Source organism: Homo sapiens, chromosome 12 (assembly GCF_000001405.40).
Source record: "Homo sapiens chromosome 12, GRCh38.p14 Primary Assembly".
NCBI classification, from domain to species: Eukaryota; Metazoa; Chordata; class Mammalia; order Primates; family Hominidae; genus Homo; species Homo sapiens.
In genome coordinates this window covers 52,167,825-52,192,341 of record NC_000012.12, presented here as the reverse complement: position 1 = coordinate 52,192,341, position 24,517 = coordinate 52,167,825, and the positions used below count along the sequence as shown (strand labels likewise).

The window sequence follows — 24,517 nt, the reverse complement described above, 5'->3', positions numbered from 1 at the left end:
CAGCCTTCAAGTATGCAGTGAGGTCTGCGGTGAGGCGCTCTCTCTTCTCTCCTGCCCCCTTGAATGGCCTTCCTTTTGCCAACTCCCCACCCCCAACCCACCCGGCCAGTCCAGCCTTGGCCCCCTCCCCAGAGCTAGGCCTGCTTTCTTTGGGGCAGGGGGCTGTGGACCAGCCCCCTAAGCAATGCAGATACCTGTTGGGAGGGAGACCTACATGCTGCTGGGGGAGGGGCGGGAGCACCCACATCATCCAACAGGTTGGTCAGGCTGGGAGGCGTCCCGCCCTCCTGCAGCTAATGAGCACTGTGCAACAGGTGTCTGCTCCTCAGTCCCCAGCCCGCCCCAGCTGTGACCAGAGCAACCAGAGCCTGCCACCCGACGCAACCCCAGGCTCACTCGCTCACCCCCCTGGGCCCTCCTGCTTCCGGCCGGGGGCACCATGGCCTGCCGCTCCTGCGTGGTTGGCTTCAGCAGCCTCAGCAGCTGTGAGGTGACCCCGGTGGGCAGCCCCCGGCCTGGAACCTCAGGATGGGACAGCTGCAGGGCCCCCGGGCCGGGCTTCAGCTCCCGCAGCCTCACAGGCTGCTGGTCGGCTGGCACTATCTCCAAGGTGACTGTGAACCCCGGCCTGCTGGTGCCCCTGGATGTCAAGTTGGACCCCGCTGTTCAGCAGCTGAAGAACCAGGAGAAGGAGGAGATGAAGGCCCTCAATGATAAATTTGCCTCCCTAATTGGCAAGGTGAGCACAAGTAGGGGGTCCCAAACATGAAGGGCTGCCAGGCCTGGGCCGGTAGCTGAGCTCTGTGTTTCCCTGAGCATCGATCACCGCGCCCCACCCCTGCACCCAGCCAATGGGGAGATGGCACTGCTAACCCGACAGGCTAGCTCTGAGCAGAGGCTGGGGGAGGGAAGTCCCTGATCCATCCTGGCATGTGGGGAGAAAGGGACCCCAGGATGGCCTTTGAGGGATGTGTTGATAATAACATGCTGCATGACCTGGGGTCACCCACCACCCAGGCAGGGACTGGGGAGGACCACCTAGTGTGGCCAGGGGTGCCCTCTCGCAGGAATGGCTGATGGAGGCATGCTCTGCGGTCCTACTCTGAGGCAAGTGGACAGGGGAGATGGCCTCCCAGGCACCACGCTCCTGTTTATCCCTCAAGCCTCTGGTCCCACAGCATCTCTCTCAGCTGCCCCAGTCAGAAAAGCCAGCAGGGTGGAGGGTGAGTGCGGGGCTGCTGGAAGGAGGTTGCTGCCCAGACTGCTGCAAGTGAGGGTGCAGCTCAGGTGTCAGGAGATAGGAATGCAGGGGACGATGCCTCGAGTCAGAACAGGGAAGCCAGTTGGGCCTTCCTGCACCCTGCGCCCCTCCTGACTGCGGGAGGTGCATCCTCAGCATCACAACCACACTTCCTAGACTCCACTACCCATGGCCTGCAACAGGTCTGGGGCACTCGTGTCCACCTCTGCTCCCAGGGCAAGGGAGCTCCCAAGGAAGTTATCCACTTCCCAAATCTGTTCTTTACTCATCTTCTCCAAGAAACTCCTCCTGACTCTGCACCCTCCTGCACCCTCAAGAATAATCATGATAGTGCCAGCTGCCATTGGTTAATTGCTTACTATGTGCCAGGCACTGTGCTGATGCTTTTCAGGTTTATCTGTATTTCTCTCAACAACCTTATGGGAGAAGACAATTTTATGTCCATTTCACAGATAAGGAAAACTGTACATTTCTGAACCTGCCAGTAAACCAGAGGTCCAGCCTTCAGCCCCTGGCTCAGTCCTTGTCTGCTCTTGGCCTCTGATTCTGTGTTCCTCTGCATGTTGCTGGTCTCCCCCATGAGGTGGGAGCTCACAGAGAGGGGCAGAGGGAAGAAAGTAACATGCATTGAGCATCTACTTATGCCTTGCCCTCTGGAGGAACATTGCAAATGCAATGAAATTCAAGCCACACTGCCACCCTGCAGTGGCTGTTATTTTCCCAACTGTGCAGATGAGGAAACTGAGGACCAGCAAGGCTAAGTGCCTTGCCCAAGATCACACAACCAGCAAATGGTAGTCTGGATTTGAACTCAGGTCTGTTGAGACACGAAGTCAGTGGTCTCTGTGGTGGGAATCTTTTCTTTCCTTCTTCCATTCATGTGCCTAGACCAGAGTTTCATCATCCACACCTGGGGTACCCCTGGGTACCCAGAGGGGAAGGACCACAGTCCACTGAGGCAGAGCATCCCTTCCCCCAGCCCTAACTGCACAGAGCCTTGCATTGCTGAGCTGGTTCTCCCTCTAAGAGCAGCCCAGCTGCCCTGGGGAGGCAGGTCCCTAAAGAGCCACCTCCTGACCAAACCCAGTTTAATCCCTTAGAAGGAATGCTTCACTGAGCTATGGAATTTGGCTCAGATGGGTGGTTTTCTCCCTCAAACGCCAGCACTGATATCACCCTGTGCCCCTGCCATGGGGATGGGAGGATATAAGCACAGGGAAGAGGCCCTCAGGGTTGGGGTCCTGTGCCCAGAGACCAGGGCAATGCCCTTGAAGTTCTTTAGCAGAATTGGAGCCTCCCAACCCTTAGCCTTGACCTTGAGATGGGGTGCCCTTCAGGGTGGGACACAGGGAGCTGTGGGTACTGGCCGTTTGGGGGCCCTGGTTGCAGGGCCCCAAGGGGCCCCAGCTGACCCTTCAACTCTGCAAAGATCTGTTAGCCCCACCCTCCTTGCCTCCTTGTGGAGGCTGTGAGGGCCCACATGGAAGCAGGAAGTGGTTAAGATGTGAAATCTGGAGCAGCATTGTGGGGTTTAAATCCCGGTCCACTACTGACCAGCTGTGTTGTCTCAGGCAGGTTATTTAACCTCTCTGTGCCTCAGCACACATTAGGTTAGCAGGCTCATTAGAATCAAATGGGAGAATTTTTGAAAAGAATTTAGAACATATCTGGTATATATTAAGTATATTATAACTGTTAAATAAAAAATGAAATAAATGGGCCTGGCCCAGGGAGCAGCTAGAACCCAGTTAGCCCCTTCCAGGCAGGAGCCTGGAGAGCAGGTGGGGAGAGGCTCCCTGCCGGATAGAGGAGTGAAGGGACTCATGGGCAGGAGGTACGGCGCAGGGCTGTTGAGCAATTATGGACCCAGAGGAAGGCCCAGGGGTGAGACGCCATGACCAGTGGGTGGGGGCTCTGGGTAAAGAGAGGAGAGGGGTGGGGGCCCTCTGAGGAACTGAGAGGAACCTGGGAGCACTCAGGAGGAGCAGAGACTCTCAGGAGGTGGTAGAGGCCCTGGAACACTGTGGTTTCTTCCACTTGCTGGCTGCGTTTTCCTGGGCAAGTCATTTACCCTCTCTGCGCCCCAGATTCCACTGCTCTGCTCTGCCGGTGGTCCTGAGCTCGTCCCAGTGGAAGGACTGGTAAGGCAACAGTCATGAGATGAAGGGGGATGAGGAGAAGCAGTAGCAGCAGGAGAGGCCAGGGGAGGCAGGGAGGGCGCAAGGCCGACCTCCAGCAGAGGCTGCTGGCTGGGCTTCTTGCCTTCACGCACACACAGACAACAGAGGGGATGGAGAGAGAGGCAAGAGGCAGGACTGCCTGAGCTCATCCTGGGGAGGCTGTAGAGAGGGAACCTATGAGCAGTGGTAAAATGCCTGGAGACAGAGGGATGGAGACAGAGGGATGGAGACAATGTCTTCACCGAGGCCTGTGTGACCTCTGGAAGAGCTGAAGTCAGCCTTCCCCCTGCCTGTATGCAGAAAAGCACAAACCAGCCACTGCTCGTGAGTCTTTGAGGCTCCCTGGCTAAAGCCAATGTCTGGCTGAAGGCCGGGGATTCAACAGCCCCCGCTAAGGAACACTACCTGTGTGGCCCAGAGGCACTCCCCTGTAAGACCTGCAGCCTCTGGGATGTCCGGCCTGTCTCCCTCCAGGAGTTCCAGTTTAGGCTGCTCGGTTTCCCCCACAAAACAACATGCCTCTCCCCTAACCTCAGCCCCAACCTGGCCCTACTTTTCAACTGGGCTTCAGTTTCTTCATCTGTAAAATGGAGAGGTCCCTGCTACAGCTGCTACTGTATGATCTAAGGGCAGAGGGCCAGGCAGAACAGAGAGGAGGAATCAGAGGTGAAGGCTCGGCAGTCTTCCTGGGTTGGAGGCAATTAACCTGGCACCTCTCAGGGCACCAGGATTATGAGCCCTCCCCAGGTCCTTGTTCTGAGAGGGAGGAGCCTTTCTGCAAGGAAGGTCCCAAGTGGGGAATGAATTTCCATCCCCGCCCACTGAGACAACCAGAGACTCCCCCAAGGGCAGCAGAAAACAGGGGGCTGTCCCTGATCCCCTAAGACCACAGATGCCTTCTAGCTGGACTGGCCGGCCAAACGCACACCATGTCCCAGCGAGCTAGTGCTGAAGCATAGGGAATTGAGGTTAGACTGTAGGAAGAACTTCCTGGTGTGAAGATTTCTCTGCTGCTCATGGGTGGAGGAAGGAGCCTCACATCTCTCCTCTCACTCCACCCTCAGTGTAAACATGGGGCTCCTGCTTGTCAAAACGGAGGCAAGGTGGGGTGAGCAGATACCTGCCCCCCCAACGCTCCCTCTCACACTCACAAGGCAGGGCAGAAACCCTCTTGACCTCCATCCCTACTGAACCTGTTTGGCTGTGAGTACAGCAGAGAGCAGGATTAAGGTTGGCTTCAAGCAGAACCTACCAGTACAGATATGCAGGGGAATGGCAGCCCGCAAATACCGTCAAACGCCATCATCCAGTATTCCTGCTGGCGTTGTCTGCTGTGAATGTCGAAGGGTCGTCAGAGCACTTCAGGAAAAACAAGGACACCCTGAAGAAGCAGAGCAGAGAGAGAGGGGCTGGCCCCACCTGACCGTTCGGGAGCCTACGAAGGTGCAGAGAGGGCAGTGGCCATCAGATGGGGCTCTCTGGGAAGCTGGGCCACCGAGTTGCTTTGTGACCCTGGAGAAGTCACTTGACACCCCTGGCCTCCATTGCCTCCTCTGCAAATGAAGGGCCCAGCTCAGCTGATCCAAAAGGCTGCTGGCAGCTCTCGCAGGCTACGATTCTGGGAGCCTGGGCCAGCAGCACCGGCAGTGGTGGGAGAAGGCCCAGCTACTCACCTGTGACCATAGGGAGCATCACTGGGCTGGTTATCAAAACATCCTCATGACAAACAACCCACACTGACGGGAGCCAGGCCCCAACCAGGCCTCCAACCTCATGGCCTGCCCTCATGGCCTATCCCTGGCACCAAGGGAGGAGAGGCCCCAAGGGGGAGCAGATGGCTCCCAGTGTGATGGGGAAAGTGGTGGGTCAGGACAAATGAGAAACAGGTAAACTGGGGGCCTTTCAAGATATGAGTCATGGAGGGCTTCCTGCAGGAGGGAGCTGGAAGAACAAATGGGGAGGAGAGGAGGACCTGGTGATGGGAAGGAGAGTAGAGAGGACAGCCAGGGTGGGGAGGAGGGAGGCAGGGGGAGCCCCAAGCTGAGCTGGGCTGGACTGGGTAGAAGGAAGGAGAGGACTGCGCAGGACCCTCCCAGCAAGAGGCATATGGTAGGCAGAGTCTGAGAGGCGCAGCTGGGCTCAGAGCCCTCCCAGGGTTTCACCTCGAGGCAAAACTGTCCCTAACTGGAGGCAGAAGCCAGCCCATGAAGGGTAGCTGGGATCCCAGGGCCCACAGTGACCAGCAACACACAGGACGCATGTGTCATAGTGGTTAAAAGGTTCTAAACCCAAAGTTCCTGGATTCCAGGCCTGGCTCTGCCACTTGCTAATTTTGTGACCTTGGGCAAGTTCCATCACCTCTGGTTTCCTCATCTGTAAAATACAGCTTATAATAGTACCCACCCATGGGGGTGCTGCAGGGATTTCATGGGTCAAGCATGTAGAGCAAGGCCTGGCACACAGCAGGGGCCACATGAGCACCTGCTGTTGTCGTATCCCAAAGCACATCCCCAGGTGTCCCCACAGTCTCATGGGGAGAGTAGTGGCTCAGGACAAAGGAGGAGCAGCTAAACTGAAGGCCTCAGTGCTGGAGGGAAGAGGGAAGTCTTTCAACCTGAGTCACAGAGAGCTTCCTGCAGGAGGGAGCTGGAAGAACAAATGGGGAGAGCAGAGGGCCTGGTGATGGGAAGGAGAATAGAGAGGACAGGCAGGGTGGGGAGGAGGCAGGGAGAGCCCCAGGCTGAGCTCGGCTGGACAGGGTGGAGGGAAGGAGAGGACCGCGCAGGCAGGTGTTATCATTCCTAACTTCTAGCTGGGGAAACTGAGGTTCAGGGAGCCTCTGTCATCGAGAGGATGAGCACTTAAGGACAGTACTAACCAGGCCCTACCCTGCTGAGTTTCCAGGACAAGATGGGACCACACTTGTCGTGGTGGCAAGGGGGCAGATAGGCCTCTGACACCCCATGTTCCCTGGGGTCTCCCGCCCCAGCCCCAGGCAGGCATGGAGAGCCTGTCGCATGCTTGGCACTCTCACACCCTCTTACCCCCTTCCTCTGCCAGCCCTGCCCTGCCCTCGCCTGGAAACCTTTGCTAATTGGCTCCACCTTGCTCTGATCCTGTCCTTATCTCACCATCTTCAGTTTTAACAATCAGTCATTGGAGGTGCTTTCTGCTGAGTGAGCGCCCTGGGTGGTGTGCATAAATGAGCTGCCACTTCCCAGGGAGCCCTCCGTGGGCTCTTGCTGGTCAGCCCGGGGCCTCAGCCCCCGACTGGTCCACACCTGACCCATTCGCCGCCTTCCTGCTCTCCCAGGTGCAAGCCCTGGAACAGCGCAACCAGCTGCTGGAGACACGCTGGAGCTTCCTGCAGGGCCAGGACTCAGCCATCTTCGACCTCGGGCATCTCTATGAGGAATATCAGGGCCGGCTGCAGGAGGAACTGCGCAAAGTGAGCCAGGAGCGGGGGCAGCTGGAGGCCAACCTGCTGCAGGTGCTGGAGAAGGTTGAGGAGTTTCGAATCAGGTACGTAGAGCCCCATGAGAGCCATGAGCAAGGCCTGAGGGCTGGGACCAAGCTGTGCTCAGATGGGAGGCACTTAAGCCAGAGAAAGAGGAAAGATGTTCTGCAACATTTCTTTACCTGAGACATTTATTGAGGGACTGGTATGTGCCAGGCAGTATTCTAAATACTGAGGATATGGCTGTGAACCTACAGCCGCCCCCTCCCTAATAGCAACCCTTAAAACAAAGTCAATCTTGTGCTGGCTCCCAGCTAAACCCTGTGCCTGCTGGCCCTTGGGCATCATCATAACCCGCACCCCCTGCCTCGAGCAGCCGTCCTCTTGTACCTATGGACACACTTGCTCTTGTCCACATGTTGCTCTGGCAATGGGAAATTACGTCACTAGCTAGAACAGATGGGTTTCTGTTTTAGATGTGGCTTTAGATTTTGATCTCGACTGGGTTGGAAAGGAGAGGAAAGCCACCAGGAAGCAGGAAGGGGATGGAAAGAATGGGTTTGATTTGAATAAAGAAGCAATGCATGCCAGACATCAAGGTAGACTTGGAAAGAGACAGATAAGGAAAACAGCCCCAGTATGCAAGGTGCCTTTACAACTTAGTGGGGCAGACAGACAGACAGACAAACAGTTGCTGGGCAGTATATCCCAGCATTTATGGGCCCAGGCTTGGGCATTAGCCCAGAATGAGGTTTAATCTTCATCATCACCCATCACTAGCTTTGTGACCTCCAGTAAGTGGCTTAATATCTGAACCTCAGTTTCTTCCTGTGTGAAACGGGAATGATTATGGTTGATGCCAATCTAAAGTAGGTATCTAACCTGAGGAGGAAGTTGAGAGTGTGGCATGGTGACTGGCAGTTATAAATGGCAGCTTTTCTATCCCTAAAAGGCTGAAGTTCTCAGCACACAGCAGGTCTTTGACACAGGTTTGCTGAACTGAATTGGCCAGTCTAAAAGGGAAGGCTGGTCACTCGGGCTGCTTAGAGGAGAGGTGACCCTCTGTGGTCAGGTAGTGGGCAGGGCTTCAGGAACAAGGAGCCTGGGGCAGAGGAGAGTGGCTGTGCCCTGCACCGACCTCCTTGGGTCTGGTCTCCTTGCAAGGAGACCTCCAGCCAGCGTGAGGGGAGGACAGGGCAGGCTGAACCCTTGGTCTCCCCTCCTGCAGTGCTGCGGCCCAGCCCCAAACCCTGCCAATCTGAGGTGAGACCCACAACCTCCAGAGCAGCCGTCCAGGCAGGCTGGAGAGTGGAGAGCACCTGTCCTGTCCAGGAGTCCAGAGACCTGGGCTGTAGCTGAGTTTACCCATCGCCTCTCCCCAGCCCTGCCCTCCCAGGCCTAGGGAAACACACACAGGGCATCTGACCGCCCCTCCGGAGAGACCCAGCTTCCTAGTACCTGACCATGACCGGGCAGTCGGGGCAGCTCACCAGAATCTGTGACCCACTTTCCTGATCCCCAGTAGATCTTTGGCCCTCAAAGGCTCAGAGAATGCCAGAGCCAGAGGGAGCCCTGGATCCTCCTTTTACAGGGAAGGAAACAGGCCCTGAAAGGGCAGGGCTTGTCCTCAGTTACACAGCCTTGCATGCTAAGTCCCATCCCTAACCCCAGCCAGCCACTGGGTAAGGCTGCTCCCACGAGCTCCGCCAGATCACGTCCATGGAAGCACTTTGTAACTGGAAGTTCTATACACACACTACCTGTTGTTTTAATCTGGCTCAGCCCCCTCATTTGGCCTGCCGCCTGGTTTCTATCCGCCTGCTACCTGACTCTACTGCTTAGGCTGAGCCTCTCTTCCTCTCTCTGGGTAGGGAACCCACCCGAGTTGGGAAGGAGAGACTGGGCAAACAGCCTGGCTGGAGGGCTTCTCGGTCTTCAGGCCAGAGCCAGGGGAGCTACAGCCTGACTGTGCAGAGCCTAGGGCCCCCAGGAGCCAGGAGACGCCAGGCCAAGCCCCAGTAGGGAAGGGCTGTGCCCTGTCTCTACGGAGCCGATGAGATCAGCCTCACTCCCAGAAATAAACAAGTTGCGGGGGTGGGGATGGTGGTGCAGGTGTGACAAGCTAAAAAATGCCTGAGAATGGGTTTGGGAGCTGGTGGCTGACAGACTGGCAGAGGATTGGGAGTGGAATAGGGGACCTAAGCCTCTATGGGGATGGAGACTTCCGAAGGCTTTGAGGTAGCAGAAACCCCAAGGATCAGCAGTCTAGCCCTCTATTTACTAAGAACAAAGCAGAGGCCCAGCAAGGGGAAGCAACTTGCCCAAGGCCACACAGCAAGTGACTCAGGGATGCCACATACAGCTGTGCAAACTGTGCGCTGCACAAGTGTGCATGATTCAGGCGGTGGATAGGGACTGAAATCCAAACAAGCATCAGGCCATGCAGGGTACCAGGTCAAACAGCCCGTGAGGAAGGGGGCTTTTTTCTAACTGGCACAAAGGCTGGAGATGAAACAGTATTGGTCTTAAGGGGACTGGCTGCAGACTGGAACCCAGTGTCCAGCCGCAGCCCAGCGTTCCCCTCGGTCCTCTCCCCTGGGGCTCAGGGCTTATTCCCACCCCACCCACAAAGCACACCTAGAGGTCCAGGGTCAAGGCAGACCTGGCCTAGCCAGGATACCGTGAGGATGCTCCCTCCAGTCCCCTGACTCCTGGTGTCCTTCTCTGCCAGAGGGGGTTTCCCAGGGCAGCTGCCAGGCCAGCTGTCTCCCTCAACTCACCCTACTTATGTTCCCCTAGGCAGGGTGAGTGGCAGAGAGGCACCTGTGCTGTGCCAAGAGGCTTCCTGAGGCCGAAGCAGAGGGGCTGAGCCCCAGCAGGTGCTGTCCCCCGCTGCAAGCACTCTGTGAATTGCCCCCATTTAATCGTCACAGCATCACTATAATCGTGGCTGAGGCACACAGGAACTCACCCCAGGACACAGCTGGTTAGCAAGGAAGCCAGGATTTCAGCCCAAGTAGCCTGGCTCTGGTCCCCTTGCTTCATCAGCACACTCCAGGAGCCCCCAGTCCTTCCTTGAGCCTCCATTTCCTCATCTGTAAAATGAGACCAATGGGACTTCCCTAGCTGGGTGCTCTGAGGACCACCAGAGAGAGTGCAGGTGAAGCACTCAGCACCTGTTATTCCCCACTCAAGTCCAATTTAGTTCTCTCTGGGGATGCCTAGACAGCAGAACGTTCTCCCCGGCCTGCTCCTCTGCCCCACCCCCAGGACCTGTACCATCAAAGCCCCTAACAGACTCTTGGCAGCCAAGGCAGTGGCCAGGGAGGGTGTGGGCCCCTGGTACACTGAGACCAGAAACCCACGTGCCCTGCCATTGGGTCCACGCCCCTCAGCTCCTCAGGTGGGCTGGTGGGAAAGAAGAAGGCATGAGGGGCGCCAGATATAGCCAGCTCAATGGGTGATGAGTGACGCAGCCCTGCTGGGAGGCTAGGGCCTGAGGTAGGCAGGCGGCTGTAATTAGAGCCGCCAGTGATTCAGGCATTCCCCGAATAGGAGGGAAAAAAACAGAAGCTGCTGAATCCCCACAGCAGCTGGGGCCAGCGAGAAGTCTGGAGCCAGCAGACACCCACCCTGGGGCTAAGACAAACAAATGTCTTGACTTGAGGAAGAGGGTCGGGCCAGGGATCTGGGGGTCCTGTCCTCCCCACCCAACGGTGTCCTTGTTCCAAACCCAAGGTGGGAGCGAGTAAGAAGTCCAAACTGAGAAGAGCGTTATTGAGCTTTGTTGAGTATGGCCTATGCGGCCTGTAGCTGGCTGTCAACTGCGTCAGGGGTGGGTTTGTCAGCCCCCTGTACACGTGGGCACATGCCTACCCCTTAGAGGCAGGAAGCCAAGAGAGGAGGGGTGATGCAACTTGCCCAAAAACACACTGGGGGTCCCTCTGACAGCAAAGTTCACACTCTTTCCAGCCTCCCTTTGGAGGGAATACAATGGGATGGTGTCCTACTGGCTCGCAAAGCAGAGGGGTGGTGGCTGGGGCTGCAGGGAAGGCATGGAGGTGGGAGAGGTGAGGTGTGAGCAAGATGCTCCCAGCGGACTTGAGTGAACCTGAGATTGCCAGGGAAGGAGGTCAGGTAAAGATGAGGGGATAAAGTGCCAGGGTGAGGGGCTGCACAATCAGGGAGGCCTCCTGGAGGGGAGTGGGTGTGGAGCAGAGCCAGGAAAGGGCAGAAGCCACTGGGAGAGGACTGTGTCATCAGGAGGGAGTGAGGAACGGGGAGCCAATGCCAGGAGGTCGGGGGGAGAGAGAGAGGATGTGTCATAGAAGATGCAAGAGGGAGAAGGATGGGCTGCTTTTCTTTAATTGGCAAAGAGACCCCAAGTGGGATAGCACAGGCCCTGAGCCCCAACCAAGGGGAGTTCACCAGGCCCAAGCCCCCACCATATCCAGCTGAGCAACCCCTCTCTCCCTCCCAGGTATGAGGATGAGATCTCCAAGCGCACAGACATGGAGTTCACCTTTGTTCAGCTGAAGAAGGTAGCCTGCCCAGCCTGCCCCAGGGGCTCCTTCCTCATGGGCCCTGGGCCCTCTTTCCCTCCAGATATCCTACTCTCCTTTATGCCCAATCAAAGCCCTCAGAGGCTTAAGTCCCAGGACCAACAGACAGACAGGGAGATACCCCCATCCCCATCCAGCTCCTTTTTCGAGGCTCTGAGCCAGATCTCCTCTGGAATCACCCCCACTCTCACCCAGGAGGCAGCCCCCCAGCCCACTCCTGCCCTGGGACCCTCCATTCCCTCTCCCACCACTCACCACTGCTGCCAACCCCAGGACCTGGATGCAGAGTGTCTTCATCGGACTGAACTGGAAACCAAGTTAAAAAGCCTGGAGAGCTTCGTGGAGTTGATGAAAACCATCTATGAGCAGGTGAGTGAGATGGGGCCAGTGTCTTGCCAAGCCCAGAGCTGGCTGGTCCATGGGTAAAGGACACAGGGGAAGCACAGCCATCCAGTGGGGCATGGAACCTCCAACAGTCACTTACAATTTCCAGCCCCAGAATAATAATTTCCTAAACCCCTTCCTGTGATGGTGTCAATAACCCTGCATGACCCCTGGACATTCATCTCATGGAACATGGGCTGGTTCCCCAAAGGCCACTCTTTCTGGAAGAACTATACCTTTGTGTGCTAGAGTACTGAGGGCATGCTGGGGACCAGGTGCCTCGGACAAGGGTCAGGAGGCTGGCCTCAGTGGCATGGAACCCAGGGGTCTGGAACGAGCATGCTGATTGAACTGATCTCTCCCTAATTCCTGCAGCCTAAACCACAGCACCCACAGTGCTAGTTCTGATAGGCCTGCCTTTCCGTTTTCCCCATTTTTGGCGAAGACAGAGGAAACATTCGCATTTGTTTCCTAAGTCCTCAGTGGGGCCCAGTGTACAAGGGCCCATAACAGCATGGCATGCATCAACACAGCCATTAGATGGGCACTGCCGCTGGCTTCTGGACACCACTCCTCCATGCCAGCTGCTGACTCCTAGGCACCCTTCAGGATATGTGTCCTCCTCTCCACACCACTTGTTTCAAGGGTGAGGAGGTTCAGGGGTGACACTCCTGAGCTAAAGTCCCTTCCACAGAGGTCTGCAGTTCAGCTAGGAGCAGGCAGCACCACTGTTGGAGATAACAGGGCTTGCCCGCCTAAGTGCTGCACACTGCTGGTGCCAAGCTATGGCAGTGCAGCCAAGGTCAAGGCTGAGATCAAAGTCACCACCACAACTTACAGATTCTGCTAAAATGGCCCTATGATCTGCTGACCACAGCTTCATGGCTGCATCCTGTGGAAAGGAAGACCGGGCCTCATGGCCCTGTCATGGGTCACAGTCCTTTCCAGCAGTCCCAGCTGCCAGCTGGGGCCTCCGTGGAACTGAGTCTTGTTTGTGGCCACGAGAGGTAGCATAGCAGAGAGAACAGCAAACCCTTGGGAGCAGCAGGAAGGCAGCCCTCCTAGGCAGTCCGCTCTCCCCACAGCCCTGAAAAGCTTCCTGGCCCTAACAAATCCCCCCACAGCCAGGCCAAGTGCTATGGGGCTGACCAGGGCACCATGCCCACTGGCTGGGTGGGAACTGGGCTAGGGGCTTCTCTGCCCAAACTCACTGTGGGCTGGTGCAGCCCAGGCTGGCATCAGCAGGGCCATCTCCTGTCTCCACTGGGCTGGATCTCTGCCACCCTTAGGCCTCCACCCACTCATACTGCCTCTGAGAGGCTGAGTCCATGGGTGAGTGCAGATTCTGCCGAGCCTAGATGGAGTGCAGATTCTGAAAACCGAGCCCAGTGTTTCTCTACCTGCTCACTGATGTCTCAGCAAGCTCAGAGCTCAAGCTCTAAGCCATGATGCAGGCCCTGCAGCTGTAGAGACATAACTGGAAGAAGGCTGGGCATAACCAGTGATATTCCTGAGCACCCCACAAGACTTCTTGGCCCCTGCCCCAGTAGCCAGGCCTGTGGGTTCCCTTTGGATTTTGCAGTCCTTGGGCCCCAATCCCAACTTGGCCTTGTTTTTTTTTTTTACTATTTCTGTAACTTTAGGCAAGTTTTTTCTCCTCTCTGTGCCTTAGTGTCCTTATCTGTAGCATGGAGAGAGTAACAGGACCAGCCTCATAGGGCTGTGAGGAGGACTCAGCCCACTCATTCATTTAACAAATGTTTATTGCATGCCTACTAAGTGCCAGGCACTGATACCACAGCCTGGGCAAGGTCCCTTCTCTCAAGGAGGGCATGACTTAGCTGAGACAAGTCATAAGCAAGTCAGCAAATATCTGGACAAGATCGCTTCGCAGGGTGACAGATTCTGGGATGCAAAGAAACCGGGTGCTGCGCTGGAGCCGGAAGGAGGGAAGAGCCTCAGAGCCCATGAGCGGGGCCTCTCACAGGCGGTACCCTCCCTAAGAGTGGCAGAGATCCAGCCCAGTGGAGACTGGAGATGGCACAGAATTGCTATGCAAAGCCCCTAAGGCAGGAGGGGAGCCTGGCGATTAAAGAAAAAGAAAGAAGTCTCTGGTCAGAGCACACGGGGCAGGGTGGGAGCTTTGGGTCAGAGAGTGCCTCACAGGGTTGTCTCACGACTTGGACCTCATTCTGAGTGTGACAGGCAGCCTTCGGTGGGCACTGGGGCGGGGTGGCAAACAGCGGGTTTCAGGTGTGGTTGTGCTATCCTGAGCCTGCTGTGGAGAAGGGCTTGCGATGGAGGCAGTAGGGGCCAGGGAACCACAGCAGTTATTATTACTTTTGAAAGCAGCAAGATGGGGTTGAAATTGGAGGTTTGCCTTTCTCTCCATACACTGCTGCAGGCTAAGAGGGCAATGCTGACTCTTTGCCAAAACTATTCCCCACACCAGAGGGTGTCTTAAGTCAGTGCCGTCTGATAGAAATACAATGTGAACTGCATATGTAATTTTAAGTTTTCTAGTCACCACATTTTAAAATAACAGAAAAAATAATTTTAATAATATATTTTATTTAGCCCAATATATCAAAAATATAATTATTTCGACATCTACCTCATTGGACAGAGCAGCTCTGAGTAAAGACTGTGCCAGCCACACCTGCCTCAGGTGGAAGAAAAACCTGGCAGAACACGAGTGGCCCAGGAGGCCCTGATACTCTAGTTTCAGCTTTGGAGCAGACACCAGATCAGAAATATAGGCCTACCCCTGTGTCCCAGAAAACAGCCCTCTCGTCTCTCCAAAACATGTGTGTGTGTACATACACACACATGCACACACACACACACACACACACACACACAGCCAAGATACATTCTGAAAAGCCCTTCCAAGCCAACTGAGTAGGAGCTCATGGCCATGATCTGCTCAGGCCTCATCTACTGCAAACCCTCTGCCTCTCTCCCCTGGGGGCACAGGCTGGAAGGTTCCCCCACAGTTTCTGAGACACAGTCCAGCTCCCAAGTGTGTTTGGGGCCTGGCTGCATCCAGTCGGAATGCCACCTACCTGACCCCTACACTCTGGCTCCAGGGAAATTAGCTGTGGAATCTGCTGACAACCCCCTGCAGCCAGGCACACCTCGAGGGAGGTCCATCCCTGCAGAGAAAAGCCAGTGCTGCCTAAACTTTTGCATGGAGGCTGCCCCGAGAATAGGCTGCTCTGCCCCTGAACACTTTGTCCCAGCTTTATCACTGTTACCAATTACCATAATAGAGAATCCTTAACTACTGTTTAGTGAGCACCTAATATATTCCAGACACTGTGCTAAGTGTTTTCCGGACTTAATCTCAGTTAATTCTCACGACAACTCTATGAAGTAGGGATAATGATTAAGAGAGCACAGATTTTGAACAGCTTGGATTTGAATCCTGGCTCAGTAACTGTGGGAACTGGAGCAGGCTATTTTATCTCTATATGCCTCAATTTCCCCATCTATAAAATGGGGACAATAATAGCATCTACCTCACTGGGCTGTTGTGAGGATTTGTTTTCTTAACATATCCTAAAATACTTAGAACAGTAACTGACACATGGTAAGCATTCAACAAACATTATCTGTTTTCAGCTCTATAATTAGATCCATTTTACGGATGAGAAAACCAAGGCTTAGACACATTTAAAAACTTGACCAGGGTTACTCAACTAATAAGAAGTGATTGGCCGGGCACAGTGGCTCACGCCTGTAATCCCAACACTTTGGGAGGCCGAAGCGGGCGGATAACCTGAGGTTAGGAGTTCGAGACCAGCATGACCAACATGGTAAAAGCCCATCTCTACTAAAAATACAAAATTAGCTGGGTGAGGTGGCGCATGCCTGTAATCCCAGCTACTTGGGAGGCTGAGGCAGGAGAATTGCTTGAACCCGGGAGGCAGAGGTTGCAGTGAGCCAAGATTGCGCCACCACACTCCAACCTGGGCAACAAGAGTGAAACTCCATCTCAAAAAAAAAAAAAAAAGAAGAAGAAGAAGAAGTGATGGCATTCAGTGTCCAGAGCCATTAGCGCTATATTTTACTCTCCAACACTGTTACCCCATAACAGTCACAATCTACCCTGACGTGGGGAACACAGTGAGGGTGCTCACACGCACAGCAGCCTCCTAAGGGAAACCCTAAACTGTACTTCGGCTTAATTCTTAACCATTTGGAGGCTCACGTGCTCTCCAGGGGTCCCATCCCATTGGGTACCTCCACACCACACAAGCCCGAATTGTCATACTCTCTGCAGCCCGGCAGGGGCCTGCATGTCTGAACACGTCTGTGGATGTTCTGAACGCTCCATTTCCTGCTTTTGTTTACCAAGCTCCTGCTTAGCCTGCCTCTTTCCAGAAAATGTCTGGCCAGTCTTTTCACCCTGACTGGGAAGTCCTGCTATAGTGCGTCCTCACAGTGCGCCGGCCTTTCCTGGGGCCATAACGAATGCCAAGTTAGGCCCTCCTGTAGAAGCACACTGGAGGGCTCTGAGGCCCCCCACACCCACCGATGCCCACAATGTGTCAACCAAAACAGCCTCAAAGCTGCAGCTCTGAAACTGTCCCCAGCCAAGCCCCAGCCAGGGTGCTGGTGCCACATGGGAAATGTCGGCTAGTGACTGGGGCAGCAGAGGTGGGGCTGTGGTAACAATCAATCTTATTCTGACACGGGTTGGGCCATCAGCCTGCTTTTGCCCAGAGATTCTATTTTCATTTGAAGATCAACCAAAACCCCCAGCAGGAGACACCCAAGGGCAGCTGGCCACTGAGTTCAGGGTCCTGCCAGCTCCAGGGCAGAGACAGGCTGTCCCCCAGAGGGGCTTCCGAATGCCCGCCACTACCGCACCATCCTTGTCACCAGGAGGTGCTGGTGGGCAGAGTCAGTTCCCGGACAGGCTGCCCACAGGGCCCTAGCTGGCCCCTCATCCCTGTCGTCTACAGCTCAGAAGTCCAGCCTCCGCCTGAGACAGAAACCAGAGGCCTCAGCACAAACTCTCCAAGCAGAAAGAGAGACAGAGGATCAGGAGGGCGCCCAGAGTCAGGAACCAGGATCAGAACACAGTCAGGAACTAAAAAGCTGAGCCTGGATCCCAGCAGGCATCCGGGTGCACCGGCCAGTTTTCAGAAAATATTGAGGCTGGAAGAAGCACGTTGAACATTGGCACAGGGTACAACAATCAAACCCAGCTGTGGGGACTCTGCAAGGCAGACAGCCAGTGTGTTCAATAAGAACAATGGCAAAGAACAAAAAAGAGAGAAATGGAGATTACAGGAGACCTACAGACATATGGACCAACTGCAGTATACTGGCCTTGTTTGGATCCTGATTCAGACAAACACATTTAAAAAATGATGAGGCGGTCAGCAAAATGGGAATGCAGACTGAAATTTGATGATTGAAATAGGGGTCAGGGTGGACTCTGAATGCCAGAAGGAGCATGATGTGTCTGCACCCAACACCCACCTCCTGCCTGGCCCCCTCCCTGCCACCAACTCACTCGGTGCAATTCTCAGTCGACTCGCCTTGCTCCTCCTTCCCACAGGAGGCCCTACCCTTTTCAGCATCTCCAGGATAAGCAGCCCAGGGCCCTTTGCAACCTCTAGAGATCCCTGGTCCCACCTGCCTCCCTACACACCCCTGAGCATTCTGGCTAGAAAGGTGCGAGGCTGTGAGCAGGAAAGAAAGCTGGTCTGGGGCCAGAAAGACAATGAAGAAGGTGTCAGCCCCTTGTCTCCATCCGCTAAGGGAGCGTCACAGCAGCAGCAACAGGGGCTCCGGGGCCCACCCTGCCACTCACCGCTGTCTCCACAACATCTTTATGCCTCAGTTTCCTCCTCTGGGGCTGCAGCAGTGCCAGCCTGGTGAGGATGTGTGGAAAACGCTCAGCGCACAGTCCAGCCTGCAGGGAATTCCTCAGGGAATGGTGGGTTTTACCATTTCCAGAAGTCTCCAGGGATAGGAGACGGTGAAAATATTGTGGTCGTCCAGGCAATGTCCCTTGGCTAGAGAGGGAGTGGGCGCTGAGTCTCCAGGGGGACCCTGAAGTCAGAGTGCTGGAGGCTGCGCCCAGGCTCCTCACAGGCTGTTGGCTTTCAGTGGGGCCGGGAGAGGGGAGTACAGGTTTGTCAGCCTCCAGCCCACTCCACCCTGGTCACTCCCTGGCTTCCCTCCCAACATTTACCAAATGAACTGAGGCACTCCTTTCCCAGACGTGGGGGCTCAGAGATGAACACAGCTCTGCCAGGCCCACAAGGAGCTGCTCGTCCAGTGGGAGAGGCAGAGCTGTACCCCACAGCACAGGAATAATGAAACAGTAAACAGAGGGGCCCAACTCACAGCCCCAGAGCCTGACTTCTCTGGCCCTTTCCCATCAGCCAGGAGTAGGCCATCCCTCCCAGGAGAGGGCAACAGTGCAGGCAGTGGGGAAGCTTGCAGGTAGCCTTTAAAACCAACAGTCCCAGCCTGCCCTCCACTCAGATAGGGGGACTGTGGGTGGGTGAGCAGTGGGCAGTGAGCTGCCTTCCGAGAGTCCTGGCTGGGGAGACGTGGCAGGGAGGCATTCGGCCTTCCATCATCTCTCCAGAGGGACAGGAAGGGAGCAGCTCCACTCTCCGCTCACCCCGGGGACAAAGTGACTGTGTGGGGCTGAGGGTCCTTGTGCCCTCCCCACCAGCCCTGAGCCCCCACATCTGTGCCCGGTCAGGAGCTGAAGGACCTGGCAGCACAGGTGAAGGATGTGTCGGTGACCGTCGGCATGGACAGCCGCTGCCACATCGACCTGAGCGGCATCGTGGAGGAGGTGAAGGCCCAGTATGACGCCGTCGCGGCTCGCAGCCTGGAGGAGGCCGAGGCATACTCTCGGAGCCAGGTGGGGCTGACCACACAGGGCACGAGAAGCAGCCTGGACAGTTCTCTGGGTGGCAGGAAGGGCTGGACTGGTGATGGCTGAGGTTGCCTGCAGCTCTCTGTCCTGAAAGTCTATGAGAGAGGAATGGAGAAGCACAGGGACGGGGCGGGCGGGGGGAGACCACAGAAGCTGGTCTGTGCCCTCCAGGAGTTCAAGGTGGTGCTGTTATCAGCAATGCTAGGCCAGATGTGGGCATGGCCCATGGGGCTCAGCTAGGGCAGCCAGGAGAGGCCACCCAGAAAGGGAGGTGGAAGGGGGAGCTGAGGGAGCCTGGCGTGGCGTGGTGGGCTGCAGAGTTGGAGATGGGACTGGAGGATGCAAGAAAAAGCAGAGGCGGGTAACAAGTGCTGGGAGCGGCACTGAGCTGCCCCTCACTGAGACCTCCATGTACCTCCAGCTGGAGGAGCAGGCCGCCCGCTCGGCCGAGTATGGGAGCAGCCTCCAGAGCAGCCGCAGCGAGATCGCGGATCTCAATGTGCGCATCCAGAAGCTGCGGTCCCAGATCCTCTCTGTCAAGAGCCATGTGAGTATCTGGGGGACGCGCCTGGGGGCGGGGAGGAGAGCAGGGAGACACACAGTCATGTGTGCTGAATACAGGCAAGACATGACTGAGTGACCCTGTGTGGGTCGCTTAGCGCCTCTGTGCCTCAGTTTCCTAATCTGTCAAATGGGATAATAGCACAGCCTCCTAAAGTAGTTATGAGGCGCTCTGCATACAAAAATACTCTGTAATCTGGTCAAGGCTGCTGGAACGTTAGAAAGCCCCCACACTACACACACCCAGAGCCCACTGCCTCCCTCCTGGGAACCCCCACCAACTACACAGAGAGGAGGGAGTAGAGGCCTAAGTCCCAGCTTCCAGCCAGGACAAACCTTCAGGGCAGGTGCTGCCCCATAAGGACAGCCGGGACAGGCTCCTTTAGTGGCTTGCGGTGCTTTCCTCTGGCCTTGGGAAGGTGCCTCTTCAGGTCTAACTGAACTCCCTCTTGCTGCATGGCAACCAGTTACCACACCCAGAAATGCCATTGCTCAGCCCTCCCTCCCCACACCTACCCCCACCAAGGACAGAGACGACTCCTGGCCCTGGCCCGCTCCTCCTTCCCCTGCTCACAGGCCCTTTCACTCTGTCCTCCTGGCTGCAGTGCCTGAAACTGGAGGAGAACATCAAGACAGCTGAGGAGCAGGGTGAGCTGGCCTTCCAGGATGCCAAGACCAAGCTGGCCCAGCTGGAGGCCGCCCTGCAGCAGGCCAAGCAGGACATGGCGCGGCAGCTGCGCAAGTACCAGGAGCTGATGAACGTCAAGCTGGCCCTGGACATCGAGATCGCCACCTACAGGAAGCTGGTGGAGGGCGAGGAGGGCAGGTGAGAGCCAGGGCTGGTGAGGAAGGGCTGCAGGGGAAGGAGGGCTGGAGGCCCAGGCCTACACAAAGTCAGTTCTCCTTTCCAATATGATACAGTGAGCCTACCAGGCCTGGGTTTAAGTCTTGGCTTAGTCACTTACAAACTGGGACCTTGGCCCAGTTCATTTCATCCTGTTTCCCCATCTGGAAAGTGGGCTGATCATAAACATGGTTCACCTGTGGCAGGGATGATTCATGTGATTATGCCTGCAAATGCCTGTCAAAACTCAGTGCTCAATGCTATTAGCCATTTATGCCATGGAGATGGGACAGAGGCCCAGGAAGGACAAGCTGGCTAGCCAGGGCCACACAACAGGGCAACCCCAGGGCTGGGAGTGACCACCAAGAACTACCCTCCACTTGCCAGCCCCCAGGGGAGTTTAAGCCACAGGCTCTCTTCGCATCCCATCATATCCCTCTCCCACCCCCCCGTCCCCCACCCCCAGGATGGACTCGCCCTCAGCCACTGTGGTCAGCGCTGTGCAGTCCAGGTGCAAAACCGGTGAGTCCTCTTGCCCCGAGAACCCATGGTGGGGTGAGGGTGAGGGTGTAGGGGATCATGATCCTAAAGGCATCATTTTAAGTGGCTCCCAAACCTCCAGCCCCTTCCCTCCCCTACCCCTTATGTTCCCTGTAGCTGCCTCCAGATCAGGCCTCTCCAAGGCCCCCTCCCGAAAGAAGAAGGGCAGCAAAGGCCCCGTGATCAAAATCACCGAAATGTCAGAGAAGTACTTCTCGCAGGAGTCGGAGGTCTCAGAGTAAGGCGGCTGGACCCCAGGAACCCCAGGGCACTCCACTGCAGCAGGAGGGACTTAAGCTAGACTCAAGAAAGCAGCTTGGAGCCTCTAGGTTGAGAAGAGAGGCAAAACCTGATATTGAACTGAGAGAGGGGTTCAAAACTGACTGTGTTTTGTGGGCTGCCAGGGTGGGAGAGGAGCATCACCAGCTCCTCAGAGCCACTCCGCTCCATATCAGTATCTCACAGTCCCATCCTTCCAACCTTCTGGCCAGAGGTTTTCCTGATGGGTGAGTCGGAATTAGGGGTCAGTTTTGTCTCCACCTCCTCGCTCCTCTGAGGCTCCTCCTCCAGCATCAGGCTCTGCCAAGGCCCCTCTGACTCTTGCCCAATCCTTGACCTTGACTCCTATCTCAAGCCTTGCCTTGTCTCTGCCTCGGAACTGGGACTGGGACTGGCTCATCCACCTATGTGCGGGAGCCGAGGAGGACGGCGTGGGCCCTGTCCTGTATCTGGAATTCCTGGGAAGGCTGGCTGCTGAAGACCCTCTTGGCTTTCCCGTGCTCTTTGGGCTCCCCAGAGACCTGACAGTATTAGGGAGTGAAGGGAGGAGGGGCCCTGGCTATTTGGGACCTAAGCCTAGGCCCCAGAGATCAGCCCGAACACCCGCATCCCTTCCTCCTCCCATGGGTCCCTCCCAGTAGGCAGTAGTCAGAACTGGATGGGCTGCCCCCAGCCAGCTCCCAGCAGCTTCTCCGGAAGCTGCTCTTGCCATAATCAACTCCCTGGGAGTGGAAGCCAGATGGCAGCTTGAGATTGGGCAGGAGCATTCGATCTTCCTTTCACCTCCCTGCCATGCTGGGGTCCTACCCAGCCTGGATCTGAGCTCTGTGCCCCCAGCCGGGTTGTTCCCAGCCTGAGCACCGGGCTTTGGTGCACCAGGCCTTGGAGACCCCTGGTCCCACCCCTGCCGTGAAGCCCCAGGCCCACTTCCCAAGAATCTCACTTCTCAGGGCCTCTGTTCTCCTCTCCACTGGGCCAAATAGCCTGGCCCTCCCCTCCTTGGCATTCATGGGGGAGCCCAGGAACCCCCCACACCTATGGGGTTAGAGCTCCTCCTTTCTTCTCACTCCTTCCCCTTCCTCCCTCCATGCCCACTCCCCCTGCCTCCAGCAGGCCAGGAAGAAGGCACAGTCCAGGCAAGTCTGGGAGCTTCCAAGCCCTTGAGGTCCAGCTGTGGGGCCCAAATGACAGCCTTACAAGGGTTCTACCAGAGAGGAAAATTCCACATCCCACCAGAAGACAGGGGTGTTGGCAGGCATACTCCTATCTCCTCCTCTTGGCTCTCAATGCTGAGGCTTGCAGAGGCATCCCAGCGGCACCAGCCTCCCACTGCACAGCTTCCTTCCCTCCTTCACTCTCCTCTCCCCTCCCTGCCCCTTGCCTCACCTCCTCTTCTAGACTGCATTAGATTCATTCATCTCATTTGCCAGGACATGTTGGCCAGAGGTCTGGGCCCATCCCAGGCCTCAAGGCCCTCCAGGCCTGTGGGGAGCACTGGAGGGTTACTGACTCTCTGGCCATGGGAACTCAGAGATTCTCATCCCCAAAGTCCCAAAAGAGGGTGCTGATTGGTGCTTTTCCTCAGGCTCTTCATTGGTTTCCAAGGGAGCAAATCCTCAGTGGGGATACAAGACATATAAAGTATATATTATTTTTTCATAACTTATGTGGCTTTTAACTTATTGCTTCCCTTCCTGTTTCTGCATGATCAGTCTGTATGTACTATCTGGAAAGATAACACATACTCCAGCCACCTCACCTGATTGGCTATCTTGGGGCCATGTCCCCTTCTTGCTGCCACAGGATGAATAAAGTGTTGAGATTTGTCTATGGAGAAAGCTGTGTGTCTGTTTTTATCTCCCCTCTCAGGACCAGTCAGCCACTGGTCAATCAGGCTGATCATGGAACATTAGGAATTCTCCAATTAAGGGAGAAAAAGTCCAGGGACTTAGTTATATCTTCAGACCAGTGCAGCTGGTACACACAAAGTTCTCCTGTCTCACCATCTGATATGGTTTGGATGCTCGTCCCCTCCAAATCTCATGTTGAAATGTAATTCCCAGTGTTGGAAGTGGAGCCTGGTGGGAAGTATTTGGATCATGAGAGAGGATCCTTCATGAATGGCTCAGCACCATCTCCTTGGTGATGAGTGAGTTCTCACTCAATTCACATAGATATGGTTGTTTAAAAGAGTCTGAGACCTCTCCCCTCTTTCTCGCCATGTGATATGCCTGCTCCCCCTTCACCTTCCGCCTTTACTGTAAGCTTCCTGAGGCCCTCACCAGAAGCTGAGCAAATGTTGGTGCCATGCCAGTACAGCCTGCAGAATTGTGAGCCAAAATAAATGTCTTTTCTTTATAAATTACCAAGTCTCAGGGATTTCTTTCTTTTGTGTATGTGTGTGTCTGTGTGTGTGTGTCTGTGTGTGTATGTGTGAGACAGAATCCTGCTCTGTCATCCAGGCTGGAGTGCAGTGGCTGGATCTCGGCTCACTGCAACCTCTGCCTCCCGGGTTCAGGCAATTTTCCTGCCTCAGCCTCCCGAGTAGCTGGGATTACAGGCACCCACCACCATCCCCGGCTAATCTTTTGTATTTTTAGTAGAGATGGGGTTTCACCATGTTGGTCAGGCTGGTCTCAAACTCCTGACCTCAAGTAATCTGCCCGCCTCGGCCTCCCAAAGTACTGGGATTACAGGTGTGAGCCACAGCGCCCAGCCAGGGGATTTCTTTATAGTGTGTTTAAGAACACACTATAAGCACAGCCAGGCCCCTGGGCTGACTAATACACTGTGCTGCACTGAGACTGCACCAACGTTGACCTATGTTCCCAGCGCCTCCTGACATATCCAGGCACCACACAGGCTGCTTTAGCCAGCACACATGCTGGGGATTCCCCAGTGGTGGCAGGGTTTCTTCTTAAGCACTTCTGCCCTACTGGGAATTGACACAGCCCAGAATGTATTCTGATGCGTACGGGCCCAATCCTGCCAAATCAAATCCCAAGTCAATGCATAAGGATTGAGGACCTTCTCCAAGCCCAGCCTTGTGCTAAGACTCCTCCAAGACAGGGGTCCACCCCTCAATCGCAAGTAGTTCACAGTCAGGCTGAGAGATGAGATATCCACCCAAGGTAGCCACCCTGGACTTCGTCACCACGTGCAGAAGTGGGTGCTATAAAGGTCAGGGAAGAGAAGGGCTTGTGGAGGGAATCAGAACAGGCTGCTTAGAAGAAGGGGGACTTTAAGTGAACACAAAGGATCTCAGTTAGGAGACAGACCAAAGCAGGAACAGGTGTCTGTCTCAAAGGAAAGGAATAGCGGGAAGGGACGTGGCAGCATTTGTGTCCTGGCCCACCCACTCACCAGCAAGGAGACTTTAGGCAAATAGAGCATCACTTTCCTCATCTGTAAAATGGGGCACACCTCTTCCCTACTTAACTCACGGGGTGCTTGGGCATTTGATGAGGTGGCTATGTTTATTCATTTCAGGAAAGCCACATCTCTTGCTTCTGTCACTCTGAACTATAATAGCTCAA

At 55.6% G+C, this 24,517-nt stretch overlaps 1 protein-coding gene across 3 annotated transcripts, besides 1 other annotated feature; it reads left to right on the top strand.

Annotated features, from left to right (window-relative positions):
* KRT80 (keratin 80) lies at positions 328-23,346 on the top strand. Of its 3 annotated transcripts, none has more exons than NM_182507.3 (9): positions 328-739; positions 6,755-6,963; positions 11,379-11,439; positions 11,734-11,829; positions 18,578-18,742; positions 19,179-19,304; positions 19,924-20,144; positions 20,629-20,684; positions 20,820-23,346. In NM_182507.3, the coding sequence occupies exons 1-9, from the start codon at positions 440-442 to the stop codon at positions 20,942-20,944; spliced, it is 1,359 nt and encodes a 452-aa protein (NP_872313.2). In that variant the 5' UTR covers positions 328-439; the 3' UTR covers positions 20,945-23,346. The 3 variants fall into 3 exon arrangements, with proteins under 3 accessions (NP_872313.2, NP_001074961.1, XP_005268733.1); NM_001081492.2 differs by having other exon boundaries at positions 20,785-23,346; XM_005268676.4 differs by lacking the exon at positions 328-739 and having other exon boundaries at positions 6,593-6,963; positions 11,379-11,829.
* Positions 7,949-8,774: an enhancer, noted in NCBI's record as "H3K27ac-H3K4me1 hESC enhancer chr12:52577352-52578177 (GRCh37/hg19 assembly coordinates)". NCBI's record gives its function as "activates a minimal SCP1, AML or CMV promoter by ChIP-STARR-seq in naive H9 embryonic stem cells {active_cell/tissue: H9 hESC(naive)}" and the evidence as "EXISTENCE:reporter gene assay evidence [ECO:0000049][PMID:30033119]".

Coding starts and splice junctions, on each gene's coding strand:
- KRT80 (XM_005268676.4), top strand. CDS start 6,644: ATGAGCTGCCACTTCCCAGGGAGCCCTCCGTGGGCTCTTGCTGGTCAG. Junction 11,830..18,577: donor TGAAAACCATCTATGAGCAG/GTGAGTGAGATG, acceptor GTGCCCGGTCAG/GAGCTGAAGGACCTGGCAGC. Junction 20,145..20,628: donor GTGGAGGGCGAGGAGGGCAG/GTGAGAGCCAGG, acceptor CCCCACCCCCAG/GATGGACTCGCCCTCAGCCA.